The sequence below is a fragment of the Homo sapiens genome, chromosome 5 (genome assembly GCF_000001405.40).
Source record: "Homo sapiens chromosome 5, GRCh38.p14 Primary Assembly".
Classification (NCBI taxonomy): Eukaryota; Metazoa; Chordata; class Mammalia; order Primates; family Hominidae; genus Homo; species Homo sapiens.
The window spans coordinates 175795445-175814368 of record NC_000005.10 but is presented as its reverse complement, the minus strand read 5'-3'; the positions used below and the strand labels follow the sequence as shown (position 1 = coordinate 175814368).

The following is an 18924-nucleotide window of genomic DNA, read 5'->3' as shown; positions in this document are numbered from 1 at the left end:
AGCCCTGACCTCACTGACTGCTGGCCAGGCTGCTGTCCTGGTCTCTGCACTCCCGGCTCAGGCAGGAGGCTCTGGGTCACCTGCCCAGCAATCTCCCTCCTTCTTAGGATGGGGCCTCCTTTGCCCTCCCCAGGGTGAGGACTGCCCCGGAGGCTGTGGTGGGGCCTGGAGACATTCCTGCCTCTGGGCCCAGCATGGGCTCTGGAGCCATGGAAGCCCTTGCAACACCTTTGCCAGGTGACTCTTGCCTCAGTCATACACCACTTCTCTCTGTTTTCCTCATGTACATCTTGCATTTACTATTACTCACTTTATACTTAGCAAGAGTAACAGGTTCATTTTTTGACCTTTAATACATATATTTGGAAAGAGAACATAAGATCCTTCTCATAAACAGGAATGCAGTATCCTGTTCTGTAAATAGAAGGCCATGGTTAAAAACAAATAAATGGAAAATAAAACATCGTTTATCCACTTCCAGCTAGTTACTGTTGCCGGCTGAAGTCTGAGCCTCTTCCTTGGAAAGGAAATCAAGCTGGTTAAGGAGAGGCTAACCTTCAATTGAGACTCTCTCCTTGATGTAATCAACCAAAAAGGCAGTCATTCTCTCCCAGTGCTATTTAATTTGTGCCTGAATAACTCTTCAAATTGTCTCATGGATCCCCGATGGTCTGTGCCCACTTTGTGGGAGATGCTACCTCAGCAGCCTCGGACTGCTCTGTGTGCCTGTGGCCAGCTCCCTGGCCACACTTGACCACTTCTGCCCATCAGAGCTGGATCCATGGCTGCCTGTCTCATGCCCACCCCACACTGTTCCAGACCGACTGGGCCTGGGCCCCTACTTTGTCCCAGGAAGCTTTGTTTTTGTTTTGTTTTGTTTTTTGAGCATGGTTCTAGGTTCAACCACCCCAGGGAGCTAAAATAGAAGGATATAAGAACTAACTTTTTGAGCCCTTCTTAAGTGACAGACACTGTGATTGGTGTTTACATAGATTCTCTCAATTTCCCCCAAATTTCAGTCATTCCTGTGCCACCTTCATGATTTCTGCCCTATCACTTACTTAGTATTTCTCTTTAAATTGATTTGCCTTTTTAAAAAGATCACAATTTTATTTTCAGAGGAAATGCCATATTATTTTCATAAATCACAGTTTAGTGTGCTGGTTATATATTTCTAACACGCATCACTTGCGAGCTATTAAAATAATAAATGTTCATCTGTATACCAGCTAAAGTCATCTTGTACAGCATCAATCAATCACACGTGTGCCAGCCTCTGGGAGGTACCAGAGCCGCTTAGCTGTGCTCATACAGCCCTGGGAGGGTGGCTCGTGGCTGAGAATGTGGAGGCTCAAAGGGACACTTGCCCCAAGTCCCACTGGTGGAAAGGGATGGAGCTGAGATCTGGACCCAGTCTACCTCCAAAGGCATAGGCTCTTTCAATGCCAGTACTTTCCCAAATGCACTTTTTAAAATCAAAAGAACCCTTTAAAAGTAAAAATTTAGGAGGAAATCCAACATATACAACAGATAAAAGCGAAGCTTTTGTGGTTGAAATGGATTTGGAGGATCTAGGGCTTCTTCTTTGAGGCCTTCTCTTCCCCAAACCCATCCCATAATGGGCCCTGAGAACCTTCTTAGAAGCCCAGGATGCTGAGGAACATTATTTCAAGCTCACATTGCACCACCCTGTCCCTTGGCTCCATTTAGTGCATTATTTTTCCATGAGCCAAATTCCTGAGGGGCAGCTTCTGGGTCTATCTTATTTTTTCTGGCTAGGCGTCTCTACCTTGGACCTTGGCCACCTTGAAATCTTGAAATTTTCCATTTTGCCATCTTGAAATCTTCCACTGGCTTTCTAAATCTTACTCTGACCTGATTATTCACTCATCAAACACTGATGTCTAAAATCTGTACCCAGATTTTTAGGGGGTACAAAGGGGATGATAGGAACGCAACATATTTCCTTTGGTGGGTTCCCAGACCCGTGTGAGAGACAGACACTGGTCAAGTGCAGTAAGCGTGTGAGCAGCCCCTGCTCACCTGAAGCTCACTGGTGTTCTCATTCCTGTCTCCCTCAGGTGCTGGCTGCATTCTGTGGTGGGCAGGGCCTGGGATGGGGCTGGCCAAGGGGCCTGAGCTGTGCTGGCTGCCCTCCGCATGGTGAGGCTATAGGTCTTGCCTGATTTCCCAGTGTACTTTCTGGGTCATTTTCCCTTCAGCAAACACTGCCTGACATAAGTCTAGAGTTAGAATCACATCTCACTCAGATCCCCAAACCCTCGCTTCCATGGGAGGACCCACCTACAATGGTCCCAGCATCTGTAGTATGAAACTCTGCCTGGTTCCCAGCCTCACCCTGTCTTCTCTCCTCATTGCTGAGTCTAGTTGACCTTCCAACCTGGAGGCCATCCTCCCACTGAAGTGGGTACCCCAAAAAGATCCCTCTATGCCAGTAAGAAAGGCTTCTATTGCCTTAAAAATATGAAAAGGTCCTGGCAGAGTTCCAATAGATTTTAAAGATTCCTAAGGGACATTTAGCCATGTGGTGCCCCCTGACTGAGCCAAGACTGCTATCCAGCTCTTCAGTGCTGACTATGGCCCTGGTCCTCTCTGAAAGGCCTCTATCTTCGGGACACTCTGTAATGTCCCCAGAACATCACCTGTGAAGTCTCCCCTGTGCTATGAGACCAGCCAGGTCTTAGCTAAGTCCAAGTTTCAGGAAGCTTCTCTCTCGGTGGGCCCAAGAGTTGAGTCCACCAGTAAACTCAGAACAACTCAAGTCAATTCAAGCCAAGTCAACTCAGATCAACTCAAGTCAATGCACCTCATCTTCACAACATGAATATGTGCTGTGGACCTCTCTGCCTATTCGACATCACTCTGAGCCAGGCTCTAGTTGAGAGAAAGGCAGAATCCACCAATAAAATGACACAGTCTTGATTTTCAAGGAGTTTTCTGTTTTGAACCCAGATTCCAGACTCAAATTTTTTCTTGAGCTGAGGGAACCCCTTGCACCAGGGGCTGGAGAAAGATCCTCCTTTCTGGCCTGGAGACAGGCCAACCAACAGCCTAATCCTGAAGTTTGCTTCTCAAGACTTTTCAAACCACCCTTCCTGGGTAGTATGACTTTGTTAACTCAGAATGCAGAGTCAGCTGGCTCCTCCAGCTTTAAGATCTGGTTTATATGGGTCCTGAACCAATCATTCATAATCATTCATTCATTTATTCACAAACCTGCATCGAGCACTTACTATGTGCCATCCACCTTACATATATTATCTCATTTAATCCTCAGAGTAATCAATGTGAAAGAAAAACCAGTAAGGGGCCAGCTAGACTTCAACTTGGCCCTCATTCCAAAGCCCGTGCTCTTTCCATCTCATCCCACTGCCTCTTAGAACAATTGAATAGAATCTATAACACAGGCTAGAGATCACTGAATGCTTAAACCAATACATTCTATATGGAGGGAAAGAGTGGATTAATGAATATTTTATGTAAGACCAAATTCCACCTGACCAGTTTATTAGAATTCTTTGAGAAGTGAACTATGTAGGGAGATAAAGCGAGACTTTCACAAAAAGCCTTTGTCAAGTTTCCATCCCAAAGCCTATTAATAAAATTGATTCATTATAGAATTGGGCAGAGGTGGGTGGTGAGTGGGAGGGAGTCTATTTTTGCATGGATAGGGAACTGGCTTAGAGACAAGAAAGAGAGGGTGGAGATAGATGGGTGCTTTTCCAAATGGGTTCCCCAGGAATTGGTACTGAGTTTGGTCTTATATAACACTCAGTACACACGTATTGAGCAGCCAGTGTGTGCAGGTCTTGCACTAAGCATGGGGCTGGAGTACCCAAACAAGCTGGAGTCAGCTCTTGTCCTGCAAGAGCCCAAAGGTGCAAGTGCTCAGTGACATCTCCAAATTTTGGAAGATGAGAAGCTCCTCAGTGAGAGGAAATGCCAAGACATTGGAGACAAAACCTGAAGAAGGTTGCTGGGAATGTGGAAACCCCAGACAGCAGCCAGAAGGTCTGGGCTTTAGCACCAGCTCTGTCCCCGACTCTCTGTGTGACACTGGGCCAGTCCCTCCCCACTCTGGGTCTCAGTTTTCTCTCCTACACAATGAAGGAATTGGACAAGATGATCCCTAAGGGTGCAAGGCTCTGGATGGAGGAGAATGACTTACAGTAGGAACTAGTTATGAGGAAATCTTCATTTCCTGTGGCCAAAATGTTCCCTTCTGTCCCTGCCCTGTGATGGGAGGCCCCCCTCCCACCTCTCATTTGTGAACAGTGAAGACAAGGCAGAGAGCCATGAGGTCTGTGATGCTGGGGCTCGGAGCCCAGCCTGGAATTCCTCAGTGGCATTCTCTGCGAATGACTCAGCATCATAAATAGCTCCCATCTGGATGAGCAACGATATCTATAGCGATCGAGCGATCTCTATATCCACATACACTCTCTCTGTGCAAATATGTGGCTCACTGTATGCTAAATACGAGGTGGCCTGGAGACGTTCCTTCTCTTAAGAGACTATTTGGTATGAAACTCAAGACTGTTTATTTAAAGAAACAAGTTTACAACTATGCACACTGGATTACTGGTCGTGGGTGGTGGGGAAGAGGCGATGTGGATGAGGGATGCCGGGTGTGATCCGAGCTTGGCCGGCCACCTGGAAGAGGAGCTGAGGTTGACTCCTCCACCCATAAGATGGTTGGGATCCTGGGCTGGGGAGGGGGTGGCATGGGGGATGTTGAGCTCATCAGTGCAGGAAGCCGTGGCTCAGCAGAAAAAGCACAGGATCTGACAGTGACAAGAGAGCCAAGTGCCAGCCCAGCCCTGCCTTTCCATTCATCTTGGGCAGTTCATCAGTTCATTCATTCATTCATCAAACATGTACCAAGCACCTACAATGTGCACAGGCCATTGGGATACGGACATGAAAAAGCTTGGAATTCAGCCTTAGCTACCTACCAGCTGTGTGTCTTTAGGCAAGTCCTTTCACTCTCTGAGCTTCAGTTTTCTCATCTGTAACTGGGGATAATAATATCCACCTCAGGTTTTTTGGGGAGCACTGAATAAGGCATTGCACAAGAAAGTGCTTCTCTGTTGTAAACGGCTCTGAACATGCAAGGTAAACACCATTCCATCACACTGCCCAACTGATCCATCTCACTCCATCTTAGGACTGTTCTTGGCAATCACAGAGGGGAAGACGTGCCCCCTTCATCAGGGCTCCAGGGATGAGGGGATGCCCTGAACACTATCCAGGGCTTTAGTGCTGAGCAGTGCCCTTACCTTTGCTTCCTGGCAGAGCTGGGATGCGGGCACCTTCAGTCGCTGAGCAGAGCAGATAGCATGGCAGGGACCACACCTTCCTGGAGGAGGAGAGAGGAGGTTGAGGGCTAAGGAGAGAGCTTCTTGGGGAATTGGCTTGCTGAATGGGCATGGAGCCCCAGACCCCAGTGAAGGCATGCCCTCACTTCTCCGGAGGCCACCACTGCTGCTCTTGATTCCAGCAAAGGGCTGGGCGGGATGGGACCCTGCCTGGCATCAGACCCAACTCCTGGCCCACCTCACCCAATCTGATAGTAGTTACTCATCTTGTTCACTGGTGCGGGTAGCACTGTACCATTGACCGTACTTTGGTGGTAGTACAATTGACCATACTTTTCTTACTTAAATGTGATTTCTGATTGGTGTAAAGGGACAGGATTTATCATCAATCATATCTGGTTTTGAATTCCAGCTTTGGGGATGTCCTCTCTGAGCCTCAGTGTCCTCATCTGTAAAATGGGATGCCTAATACTACTGGCCTCATATACTCAGTGCTATATAAGTGCTTGTTATGATTGCTGTTGTTAAATAAGACCACGTCTGTGAAGATTTTTTTTTTACACTATAGCTCCTTAAATTTTAATTACCTTCCTCTGCTTGATTCTAGGGGGCACCATGCATTCCGTAAAAGGCAAAGGTTGGCCGTTACATGACTTTGTTTCCAGAGCTCTGCACGGGGCCGGGCAGATTGTAGGTGCCAGTAAATAATTGTTGACTGAGCATCGTGACAAGTTTGCTAGATTTGGTATCACATATTTAGGATGAGTGAGGTCGATGTTCCATCCTCATTTGATAGATGAAAATACTGATGCGGAGAGGGGGAGATGGTCTGCTTAAGATCACACAGGGGTAGGTGTGGAGCTGGAACTCTTCTCTCTGCAGCTCTTGCTCTCTGCTGCAGCCAGGCCCCCACTGGGCGGGGCACCAAGGCCCCAGCAACTGAAGGGGCTGCAATGTCCTCCTCCCAGGACAACCTGTCGCCTCCTCCCCCAGCTCTCTATTTCCTCTTCTTTTAGTAACGATAGCCCTGCTCTCAGTGGCTCCAGGAAGCAGATACTATTGTCTCACTTGCAGAGGTGAGGACTAAGGATGAGAGGCATGAACGGTTGGCCCAGATCAGGGAGACAGTATAGAGTGAATCAGGGATTCCCACAGGGATCAGCCCACTCCAGGCACCGTTACCTCCTAACACAATCCTCAGACCCCCACTTCCCTCCCCTCTTCCTTTGCTGGAATAGGAGCTTCTTGGGGCCGAGCCCAGTGGTTTCCCCAGAGCCTGGCATTTAGCAGGACTTGATAAGTATATGTTGAGTGAATGAATGAATGAATGAATGATGAGTAAGTGGGTGAATGACTCTGCCAGGCTGTGTTCTAAATGCTGGTGACAACTGCAGTGAAAAGGGCAGGCATGATCCCTGCTCTCAGGGAGCTGACAATATTTGAATTTAAAACTAGCAACTGGATTAAAAACAGGGCAGATGTTCCTGTTTCCAGCTTGCTGGGGAGGGAGAAAGGGTAGGCGCCTGTGGGCTGCAGCCTGCTGTCTGCCCAGGGAACGAGCACCTGGGAGCAAATGGCATCTTCCCTGTCCTTAGGTGGGGCCACCTGTGTGCAGGGACAGGAGGCTGGCCTTTAAGAAGGGAAGGAAAGAAGGAGAGGTGGTACAATTCTGTGTTTAATGTCTACCTACTGCTCAGTCCCAAACAGCTAGCGCGTCATCTGGCACATAGTATGTGCTTAGTAAACTTTTGTTCCATGAATGAAGAGTGGGCAGAACACATGTTGGGATGACTTGGGTCTAGGAGGCAGGGAGAATCAAAAGCGTGAACTACTAGAATTATTATGACTTAGAATGGAGCGTCATTCCTTACAGAGCCTTTTCACACACTAGTCATTCTCCTGTGCAGGCGAGGGGCCCGTTGAGCACGCACTTGCTGGTGAGTTTTCTGTGCCTCTGTGCTGGGCACTGGTGGTGTTGGTGTAAACAAAACAGCAATGCCACCACCTTCAGTGTATTTACTGTGTGCCAAACCCCCACAGTCACAATCCTTAACACTCCCGCTAGCCTGGCAAGGCCAATGTCATAACCCCTACCACACAGAGGATGGCACGGAGGCCCAGAGAGGCCTTGATCTCGCACAGTGGAAACCCGTGAGTAACTAAGTAGGAGAATGACTCTGCCAAGGTCTCTTGTCTTACTCTAAGAGTGAGACATAAAAACTTCATAGCTGAGGCTGGTCGCAGTGGCTCACACCTGTAATCCCAGCACTTTGGGAGGCTGAGGTGATGGATCGCCTGAGGTAGGGAGTTTGAGACCAACCTGACCAACATGGAGAAACCCCATCTCTACTAAAAAAAAAAAAAATACAAAATTAACCGGGCGTGGTGACACATGCCTGTAATCCCAGCTACTCGGGAGGCTGAGACAGGAGAATCACTTGAACCCAGGAGGCAGAGGTTGCGGTGAGCCAAGATGGCACCATTGCACTCCAGCCTGGGCAACAAGAGTGAAACTCTGTCTCAAAAACAAAAAAAGTTCACAGCCGAATGGGGACACGAGCAGGAAAGCAGATCCTTAAGCTACAGTGTGTCACCCCCTCTAACACAGGTTTCTCTAAGGTGCCTCTCTCTTCATCACCTTAGAGAAGCTGGAGGGCTTCTCTGAAAAGGTGAGTCTGGAGCTAAGGATTTGCAGAGGCCAAGTGGATAGTGAGGCAGGAAGGGCTTTCCAGGCAGAAGGAACAGCATCTGCAAAGACACGGGGGATGCATGGTTTACTGAGGGAACTGGGAGGAAGGTGGCTTGGCTGGAGCCTCAGGGCCAAAAAAAAAAAGACTGGCGGGTTGTCAGAGCCAGTTTAGAAGGGGCCTTAGAGGAGCTTGGGCTTCACCTTGAGGGTGATGGGGAGCCATTGCAGGGCTCAGCTCTGCGCTCTAGATCCTTCCAGGCACCTCAGGGGCTCAAGGATGAGAAAGGGAGCATGAAGGTGGGGAATCTGGGGTGCTCTTAACAGGCTGTGGACAGGGAACTGTGCTAAGGCAGTGGCTTGGGGTGGCAAAGATAGGAGGAGTAGCTATCAGGACTCAGGGCTTGATGAGGTGTGGAGCTGAGGGAGAATGGGACTCAGCCTGCTGGCTTGGGTGTGTGTGTAGCGGTGACATGGGCGTCTGTGGCAGTCAACCCTCTCATCAGCTGACCCATGCTGTGGAGTTGGAGGTCCTCTCCCAGCCACGAGAAAATCGCTGTGGCAGCTCCTAGTGCCAGTTCCAGCAAAGGCTTCCCCTACCACCTGACTGCTTGCAGACCATGTCCTGGCAACCTCGCAGCCCTCCCCTTGGCAACGTGAGCTCCTCTGACTGTGCTGGAAGGAAAGGTGGGGCTGGGATGCCCCCTGACCACTAGACCCACCCAGGGAACTTGCCACTTGCAGCCTGCCCGGCTCATCAGGTGGAGGCTGGCCAACCAGGTGAGGGAGGTGGTCTGGACACGGAAAGCCTTGGGAGCTGGGTTCTGACCCCAGAGCTGACGCTCTGTGTGAATGATCTTGGACACGTTTCTTCCCCTCCACAGGTGTCCGTTTTCCCTTCTGCAAAACAAAAAGGGATCTCTGCAGTCTAATGCTGTCTCATCCCATTTTTTATATTTTCCATGCTTATTGCTCGGATTCTCTGTTGCTGACACAGATTTTAGTGTCAGACTCCAGGGATTTAAATCCTAGTGGACAAGTCACCTCATCCCTGAGTCTAGATTTTTTTCTCTGAAAAATGGATATATCTTATGCTTACTCAAAAGGGTTATTAGGGTTGGCTGAAATGGCGTCAACTGAAATGCTTTACAAATGGCAAAGAATAATTAATATGAATGTTATTGATTTCATTTCATCACATGGTCTATGCTCTATTGAAATTCATTGACCCACCACCAGCAGCGGCCACAGCAGCAAGAGTTTACCGAATGCTTACTATGTGCCAAGCATTGTGCTGAGTGTTTTCCTAATATTACAACAACCATAGAAGCTACCTATAATTATTATCCCCATTTTACATGTGAACAAAATGGAGGGCTCATACAGTTAAGTATAGAAAGAGCTTGGCCAGGGTCCCTCGCTTCAAAACTTGCTGGTTTAAAATGCATGAGGTGTCCACCTCAGGATCTCTTCTTACGTCTTGGGTTTTTCCTCTTGTCTGAAGTCAGAATCTAACAGGGTTGGGTAGTCAGGGGAGTAGCACTAACATTTAATGAGCATCTTTTATGTGCCAAGAGTTGACCAGGCTTTCAGACTTAAACGTGTGTGTCAATCACCGGGGTGTGTCAATCACCGGGGGGTCTTGTTAAAACACAGGTTCTGATTCAATGCCTCTGAGATGCAGCTGAGATCGTGCATTTCTAATAAACTCCCAGCTGATGTTGATGTTGCCGGTCCGTGGACCACACATTGAGTAGCCAGGCGCTAGAGGACTTTAACCAGTACCCTACTGAATCCTGGTGACTAAGTTTTATTAGTTCTGGATTCACAGATGGGGAAATTGAGGCTGGAGAGGCAATGCACCTTACTAGGCTCCCAAAGCATACAAGGGGTGGGTCTGATCCTACACAGCACCTTAGGGTACAGGCCCAGTATCACCTCCTTGATGTGTGATCCTTTCTCTGGGCTTCTGTCTCCACAGCCAAGGCAGGCAGTGTTCTCTGGGGCCCCCACCAGGAACAGTTTCTTATTTTTGGTTCACCATGAGCAGACTGGCTCTTGATACTGGCTCCTAGTGGGAACAGTGCTTGGCCCAGGCAGTGTCCCTGCAGTTAAGCAAATGTCTTCGGGCCAAGATTAGGTCCTGCTTATGCACAATTCATTTCACCTTCCTCACCCTAATCCCTGCTCTTTTGTATCCTGTCTTGATTTAAAATTTTGATATTTTATTCATCACGGTTTTTTTGCATTAATTTAAAAAAAAATTGCATAAAAAGTTATTTATCTTAATCAAGTTTTCAGCATCCCCTTAAATTGTGCACCAGAGGCAGGTGTCTTACTGGCCTCACCCCAGTCCTGGTGGCCTTATGTCGTCTCCCTCCCCCTGCATCCTCCCGGCATTAGGATGCTGCCCGCAAGGCACTGCAGCGCCCACACGGCTGCCAGCGCCAATGGATTTATTTCCCAGCAGGTGAGTCCTGCAGATGCATCACTTGGCCTGCCCCTTGGCTGACCTGCTCTAGAGATGGCAGCAGGGACTGTGGCCTGAAGGAGGGCCCAGGGGATCACTCTGACATGGGCTTCACCCCATCCACCCCTTACTGGCTGAGTGACTGAGGGAAGTGACTTCATCACAATTTAGATCACGCCACCCCTCTGTCTCCCAAAGAGACTCCCTCAGCCTTCAAGGTCCTGCCTAACCCAAGCCTTACAGCCTTTCCGCTGTCACCGTCTGTGACTCTCCTCCTTGCTCACTTGGTTTCTATCCTGCAATCTTGTCAGGTTTGTTTTTGCCCTAGGACCTCTGCATGTTCTGTTTCTTCTGCCTCCACGCTTGTCCCATAGGCAGCTTCTCATTCAGATGCCAGTCCCAATGCCTCTTCCTTGAAGCCTTCCCTGATTTAAACAGCCTCATCCTCCTCGGCACACTCCTCTCTTTTACTTTCTTCCTAGTATTTATATGACTTGGTGAAATGATTTTGTTTACTTGCCTGGCTTCTGTCTCCCAGTAGAAAGTGAGCTCCATAGAGGCATGGTCCTTGTCTTCGTCTTCCCTGTCTCTCCAGCTTCTAAAACAGTTATTGGCTCATACAGCTGCCCAGTGGGTATTGACGAATCAATGAGCCATTCCTTGGGCTTCAGTTTTCACATTTGGGAAATGGGATGATAACCCTAACCCACAGTGTTATTGTCACAATTGAAAGCACATTTGGGCCGAGCACTCTGGGTGGCTCATGCCTGTAATCCCAGCACTTCGGATCCCAGCAAACGGATCACCTGAGGTCAGGAGTTCGAGACCAACCTGGCCAACACGGTGAAACCCTGTCTCTACTAAAAATACAAAAATTAGTCTGGTGTGATGGCGGGTGCCTGTAATCCCAGCTACTCTGGAGGCTGAGGCAGGAGAATTGCTTGAACCTGGGAGGTGGATGTTGCAGTGAACCAAGATCATGACACTGCACTCCAGTCTGGGTGACAGAGCGAGACTCTGTCTCAAAAAAAAAAGGAAAATAAAAAAAAAGAAAGGAAGGAAGGAAGCACATTTGTTGAGCATCTGGTATGTGCCTGTCATTGTGCAAAATGACCCAGTGGGCCCTGGCGGTATTACCCCCATTTTATAGATGGTGGGACTTGCTCAAGATCGTCCAGCTAGGAAGGGTCAGGGCTGAGGCTCTCTCCTGTTGGAGAAGCACCTGGCCCCATGCCCTACTCTGCAGAGGTGTTCCTGATGTGAGAGCCAGGGCTGAGTTCCTCGGAGCCTTTTGCCATTTGCTGCTTGAACTGCAAGACCCTGCTTGCCCTCCTGGCTGTCGCAGCTTCCGACGAGTCAGAGACAGGAATTCTAATGGCTGGTTTTTGTGGAACAAAAAGGCCTGCCTCTTGCAAACGTGGAGATACATTTTCTCCGCATTGGCAATTACCACACTGAATGTCTGAGGAACAGTTTTCATCTGCCAGGCACTTTACCAAGATTAACTTCTGAACCCTATGCAGCAATGCTTGTTGCAGATTGAGGGGGCGGCAGGGAAAGTGTGGGCAGTGGTGTCTTTGATCACAGGAGAACCTAGGATTTGGAAGGGCTTGAGACCCCACGTCAACACCTCTGGAAGTTTGGTTTATTTTCCTGAGACTGGTTTCACCATTGTCCTGAAAGCACTGAGCTTCTAGAGGATTCAAGGTTTCTGATGTTTCCTGGCCCAACTGGCTACCAATTCAGCAATGTACCCCACAAATATTTTCTGAGAATACCCTAGGCATTATTCTAGACTCTGAGGATGCAATGATGGGACAAAATATATACTGCCTTTGTTCTCCTACAGATGTTAACTCAGTGGAGGAGCTGGAGGACAGAGACTCCTGCCAGTAACTGGCTGTGTGACTGTGGGTTAGTTCCCTTCCCTCTCTGGGCCTTTGGATTTTATCTTCCTCTCTACTCTGAACCCCCCTGCTTAAAAGTCTTCAATGGCTCCCATTGCTTACAGAGCAAGGTGGGCATCTCTGGTCTGGGATTCGAGGCCCCGAGCCGGGCTCTAGTGGACACTTCTTGGCATGTGCTCCCGGCTCGCCCATCTCCATTTTGCTCCGTTTTTATTTAGAATACTCGTACTCATACGGCACTTTCTGAGTGCCAGGAATGTCTGAGTGCTGCACATATTTTAACTTGTTTAACTCTCACAGAAATCCCTTGAAATAAGTCTTTGGACTCTCATCGTCTCCACTTTAAGAATGAGGACATCGAGTCACACAAGGGTAAACAACTTGCCTAAACCCACACAGCTTCTCAATGGCAGGGCTGGGATTTGAACCCAGGCAGCCTAGCTCCTGGGCCATGCCCTCCACAGCTACCACACGCTGCCCCTTGGTCCACCTATGCAGCAGCCTTACCACTCTCCTTTCCCAGATACAATCCCACATCCATTGCCCACCTCCATGAAGCCTTCCCAGATGCTTCCCAGGCTGACTTAAATCTTCTTGTCTCTGTTCCCACAATGGCAGCCCTTAGCGTGGGCTACTGTTGTTCTTGCTTGCCTATGGTCTCCTCAGCTGAATGCTGACCTCCTCCAGGTGGGAGAGGCTGTGTCTCACCCTTCCTGCCTCAGTGCTCAGCCCAGCACCCCCATATCATCCACTCTCCACACAGCAACAGAGGCATTTTTTTAAAACCCAGTTTTTTTTTTTTTTTAACACTCCTCTGCTTAAAGCCATCTGGCTACTATCTATTACATTTAGAATAAAAGCCTCAATCCTGACCATGGCCTAGAAGGGCCTGCATGATCTCCTCTCTGCCCCCTCCCTGCCCCTGGCGGCTGCTGCTCTCCCCTCACTCACTCCACCTCCCATCTGTCCCCATGCAGTCCAGGCTCACATTAGGGCCTCTGCCAGAGCGATTTCCTCTGCCTGGAGTGTGCTGCCCCACGTTGTCACATGACTGACTTTTGTCATTCAGGCCTCAATTCCATGTCACTAGTTCACACAGGCCTTCTCTGTCTGTCTATTTTCACATTTGCTTTTCAATTGTTATCAATGACTGTGCCTACTGTGGGTCTGTAAGCCCCATGAGAACAGAGATTAGCATGCCTTGTTCTGCTGTATCACCATCACTTGGAATGGTGCCCGACACAGAATAGCCATTCAATGAGTAAGCGTCTTGAAGGAAGAGGAGATGCTCACCAAGTCCCTTTGGGATCTTACATATTGCAGTTCAGCTAGGCCCAGGTAATATACTGCATCTAAGTCAGTCTCATCCCAAGCTGATAGCTGGGATAATTTCACAAGCTGGGATGCCCTATCTTGATCACTTGTCTATGTCTGGACTGCAATCACACTCCCAGAACAAGGCACTTGTTTTTTTTTTTTCTGGAGACAGAGTCTTGCCTTGTTGCCCAGGCTGGAGTGCAGTGGCATGATCTCAGCTCACTGCACCCTTCGCCTCCTGGGTTCAAGGGGACTTTTATTGGCTCTTATTGGCTTTTAATGGCTGACTTCCCTTCACCAAGGATGCTAAGAGCTCTTTGCGTGTGCTCTGAATTTTCTACCTACGACTTGGGGAAACTTGTGAGACACTGCCCTCCCCATTTGATAGGCAGGGGCTTCCCTGAAAAGTGGAAAGCCTGACTGGCAGAATCAGAGCCCCAGAGCCCAGTCAGGACACACATACCCATCATGGCCATCACATTTCATCAGTAATGGGGAGAATTTATGTTCTCAAAAGGCACAAGAGCTCTGAGTCCTTCCAGAGCCTGAGCCAAATACTACTCATTTAGCACCTCCAAGGAGCTGAGGTCTGTGAGCTAGGTGTGCAGCCAAATTCAGGGCAAATCGGAAAAGGAAGGCCTCATATGCATCTGGTTAAGAAAAGCAGGGCTGGCAAAAATCCACAAAAATGAGATCTGGGCTTCTGACTGTGCAGCCTTTTGCTCATGAGAACTAAGGGGCCAGCTGGGAGGTTAACACAGCAGCCAGAAAGAAGGTGCCACCAAGATCAAGTTACTTAGAAAGTATATGGAAGGGGCTGGGTGGGATGGTTCATGCCTTTAATCCCAGCAGCATTTAGGGAGGTGAGACAAGAGGATCACTTGAGCCCAGGAGTTTGAGACCAGCCTGGGCAACATAGTGAGACTCCATTTCTACAAAAAAAATAAAAATAAAAAAAATAAAAAAAATAGCTGGGCATGGTGGTGCATGCCTGTAGTCCTAACCACTTGGGAGGCTGAGGAGGGAGGACCCCTTAAGCCCAGGAGTTTGAGGATACAGTAAGCTGTGATTACTATATATATATATATATATATATATATATATATATATGAAATTTGCAAAGGGATCTCAAAGATCAAGACCAACTGTCATACATTGCCATCTTCTTGAGAACAAAGAAGGGTATTTCTTGCCCCCCTTCCTTTTCCACCTTCCAGCCTCTTTGAGCTAGAGAAGAAAATGGGATCTTAAGTTTATGAGTTCAAAGATCTCGGTTCTGGTCTCTGCACCATGGAACTTTGGGCCATTTTCTCCCCATTTTTTACCCCCTCTTCCTCATTTGTAAAATGTGGCTATTGGGCTTGATGATTTCCAAATCAATGATTTCCATAATGCTAAGCTTTCTAGCCTTAGGAACTCACGATTCAGATTACTTTGAAAGAGAAGCTCTTGCTTTTTCTCTGTAGAGTTTGATTTGTCTTTAGTAATTGGTCTAAAGCCCACTGTAGGTAGTGGACATGAACAATTCTGGCATGGTAAAACCTGTTGAGTGTTGATGCATCCCTTGTTTATTTCTGAAACAGTTTCTTTTAATGCATGTGGCTCATCACTATAGTGTGGCTTCTCAAAACATTCTGCAAAGGACAGAAATGTTCAGAATGAATTGAGGTAGAAAGGTCATGATTTGAGTTAGTGACTTCCAAGGCTGTCCAGTATCTGCATGGCAGAAGTTGTACTGATGTTAAAATCCCTCTGTATGAAATGATGTGATGTCTTGGGTTTGCTTCCAAATAAGTCAGTGTGAGTGTGTGCGCATGTGATGAGAGTGGATGTGGGTGTGTGTGATGAGAGTGGGTGTGGGTATAAATGAAACAAAATTGGCCAACTGTTGAAGCTGAATGATGGGTATGTGGGGGGTTATTATACTATTCTTTCTATTTTTCTAAATATGTTTGAAGGATTCCATCCATAAAAGGCTCTTTGGAGACCGGCTCCAGCCTTTCTCTCCACTCTCATCTTTCAGTCCACATCCTGAGGACCCTCTGGCACAGTGACATTGCCTTGGTGGCTGGGACTTCACATCTCTTGGCCTTGACACACAGCTCTGTCTGCCTGGGGTCATTTTCCTGGTCTTTCCTTACAGTTCGTGACTCCTGCTTCTGAGATCCCACAGCCCAGTTGCCTTGATACTTATCATAACATATTGCAACTGTTTGTTTCCTTTTCTGGCCTGTGACCTCCTCAAGCTACTTCTCTGCCTCCCCAGTGCACAGCCAGTGCCTGGTATATAACAGGTCCCCAGTACAAGTTTACAGAAAGTATGATAGCAGTCATGGGATCTACCATTTTTTGAGCATTTACTATGTGCCACTAAGCTCATTACATGGCTCTCTCATTAAATTCTCATCGAAGTGGGTATTATTGATCTTCTCATTCCTCTTTAATAGCTGAAGATAGTCTCAGACAGTCACTTGCCCAAGGTCATATGCTAGTAAGTAAACCACTCTGCTATTCTCCTTGCATGTGGGATTTTAAAAGACTTCTCTATGAATGTTATGCAACAGGCCCAGGAGTTAGAGAGCCCGGGTTTTAGGCCCAGCTTTGCTACTAAATTGCTGAGTGACCTTGGGCGAATCACCCCTGCCCCCTAGGCCTTGTCTTCCGCGGAGACAATCAGTGATCTAGAGTGTCACGTGATCCGAGGGCCCTCCCAGCCTCAGCTCTCAGAGAAAAGGTTTCTCTTCCACGTATGCTTTCCTGCCGCGGAACTGGCTTCCCTGTTTGGGAACCTCCCGGCTTCACAGACGCCCTCAACCTTTTTTCTTGCTAATTGCAACCTCCCAGGTCTAAGCCGAGTTCGCAACCTGCTGTCTGGGTCGCCCCCTCCCCCCTGCCTTCTCTGCCGTCTGGGATTTCTCTGGAGGTGGGGGCGGAACCCGGGGAGTGAGGGAGAGAGGGAGCCTGGAGCTGTCCCGTTCGTGAGGCTTCCCCGCGGCTTCTCAGCCCCCTCCCCCTACGGAAACTCAGCCTCACACTTTCTAGGGATGTTCCGGGGACAGCCGGAGTCAGTGATTGCAGCTGCCAGCCGCGGGCTTCTGTGCAGGGCTCTTGGAAGTCCGCGATTCTGAGCTGGGATGGGGTGGGGGTCTGGAGGGAAGACGGGGCGGCGCACTCCTTCCTCCCCGCCGGGACCTCAGCCTAGGCCCAGCCCGCCTAGCGGAGCCGGGACCGTTCTGTGCCTGTTTCCCCTCTACCTCTTGCCCACTCTTAGCTGGGCCCCGCCATTGCACGGCCAGGCCTCGGCGGGCGGCGGACCCAAGCCGGAGACGCGCGGCTGTGCTAGGCCCCCGCCTAGCTCGCCGGTGACACCTCTCTGGGAGAAGCTGAAATCCCCCGATCGATGCGGCCTCACGCCACCCCTAGGCGCGCTGGGGGCCCCAGACCCGCGGCTTTGTTCGCGGTTCGCGGTGCCGCCGGAGAGAGCTGTCCGCCGCCGCGGTGCTAGCGTTGGGAGCGGCCCGCGGGGGCGAGGGACGGTCCTTAGCAGCCGCGCGGAACCAGGGCGGAGGGTGCGGAGGAGCCCGCCCGGCCGCCGCTGTCCGCCGCTGCAGTGCTGACCCGATAGGGACCCGGTGCGGCGCGGGAGCTGTCCCCGAGATGGTGCTGGAGCGAGAAGCCCGAGGCGCCCTCTGCCTCGCCCCGGAAGAGCCGCCGGCGGCTGAGAGCTCCAGGGAGGGGGAGAGGCCGGAGGAAGCCGCCTCTAGGAAGCTCTCGAGCGCGGGGCCTGTGGCCGGGGTCTCTCCGCCAACCGCTCCCGCGGAGGAGGGCGGCTCAGCCACAGGGAGCGAGCGCGCGTTCTACGAACCTGTTGGAGGCTGCAGCTCCTCCGCGGCCGACGAGGGCGCCCGGGCCGAGGTTCTGGCGCGTTTCTCCCTCCCCCTCTTCCTTGACTCCTCCGCCGAGGCGCTCCCTCCTGCCTGGGCTAGCACACGTGCACGCGGGGGGCGCCAAGCCCCGTTTCTGTCCGCCTCGAATGCCTGCCGAGCTGCAGGGCACAGAGCCCAGAGGCCTCCCCCTAAGGGCAGACCCGCTCCCAGGGAGACCCAAGCTTCCCGAGAAAGGAGGCGGGGGCTGGCGGCGGAGATGAGAGAGGACGCCAGCAGAGGTGGCAGTGAAATCAAGGAGACATGGGAGAGTTCCCACCCAGGCAGTTCTGCCCTGAAGTTCGAGGACTTGGGGGTCTGCCACTAGGGCATCCTGACTTAGAAATATCTCTCACTCTCCATTTCTGTGACCAGCAACCAAATGCAGGTCTACCTACCTGCTCTGTTGCCAACCCCACTCACTGGCCTGACTGCCGCTAGTACTTCATTCCAGGTTGTCTTTTACCATGTCCCAGAGAAAGCTCTCTAAACTAACTTTTTGACGAGATCCTTCACTAGCAAGACAAGCTATGTGCCCATCATGACAGAGGACCACTTACTCTGAACAGGCTCACCCCAGGGCCTTAGCACCTGCCCTTCCCTTTGGCTGAGACTTTCTCCCTTCCTTACTACTTATGCTTTATCTGCAAGTGAAAGCATCCTCATTTTCCATGCAAATTTTCCTGGCCCCTAAGGCACAGTCAGTCACCGCCTCCTCTAGGATCCCTCAGCCTTTACAACCCTCCACTACACTTCTCATCATATTGTGTTACTCATGCACCTCTATCCTCAGTTGCCAGGCTAATAAAAACTAGTTCCATATTTTATGTTTCTCTGTATCTTCATCTCCTAGCATGGTGACTGGCACACAATAGAGGTTGAGTTATATCTGCTGAATGAATGTACACATGAGAAGCAGAGGGCAAAATAACTTCCTTTTCTTCATGTAATTGCTCATTTGATTTCTTTTCTTTCTTTTTTTTTTTTTTTTTGAAACGGAGTCTTGCTCTGTCGCCCAGGCTGGAGTGCAAGGCGTGATCTCAGCTCACTGCAACCTCTGCCTCCCGGGTTCGAGTGATTCTCCTGCCTCAGCCTCCAGAGTAGCGGGGACTACAGGCGCGTGCCATCACACCCGGCTAATATTTTGTATTTTTAGTAGAGATGAGGTTTCACCATGTTAGCCAGGATTGTCTCAATCTCCTGACCTCGTGATCCGCCCGCCTCAGCCTCCCAAAGTGCTGGGATTACAGGCATGAGCCACCGCACCCAGCCTGATTTCTAT

At 49.8% G+C, this 18924-nt stretch overlaps 1 protein-coding gene across 3 annotated transcripts in view, besides 1 other annotated feature; it reads right to left on the bottom strand.

Annotated features, from left to right (window-relative positions):
* The window catches only part of CPLX2 (complexin 2), an 87489-nt gene extending 69653 nt beyond the window's left edge, over positions 1–17836 (bottom strand). Inside the window, exons 1-3 of one of the 3 annotated variants that reach the window (XM_047416650.1) lie at positions 17585–17836; positions 8748–8925; positions 5301–5380 (exon numbers count right to left, since the gene is read on the bottom strand). The gene's annotated coding sequence lies outside the window, so the exon portion shown is untranslated. The remainder of the gene's footprint in view (positions 1–5300; positions 5381–8747; positions 8926–17584) is intronic. The other 2 variants (NM_006650.4, XM_005265799.2) reach the window with 2 other exon arrangements.
* Positions 17223–17342: a silencer, noted in NCBI's record as "silent region_16645". NCBI's record gives its function as "represses an Ori minimal core promoter by ATAC-STARR-seq in GM12878 lymphoblastoid cells {active_cell/tissue: GM12878}" and the evidence as "EXISTENCE:reporter gene assay evidence [ECO:0000049][PMID:35858748]".
* Positions 17837–18924: the final 1088 nt, after the last annotated feature.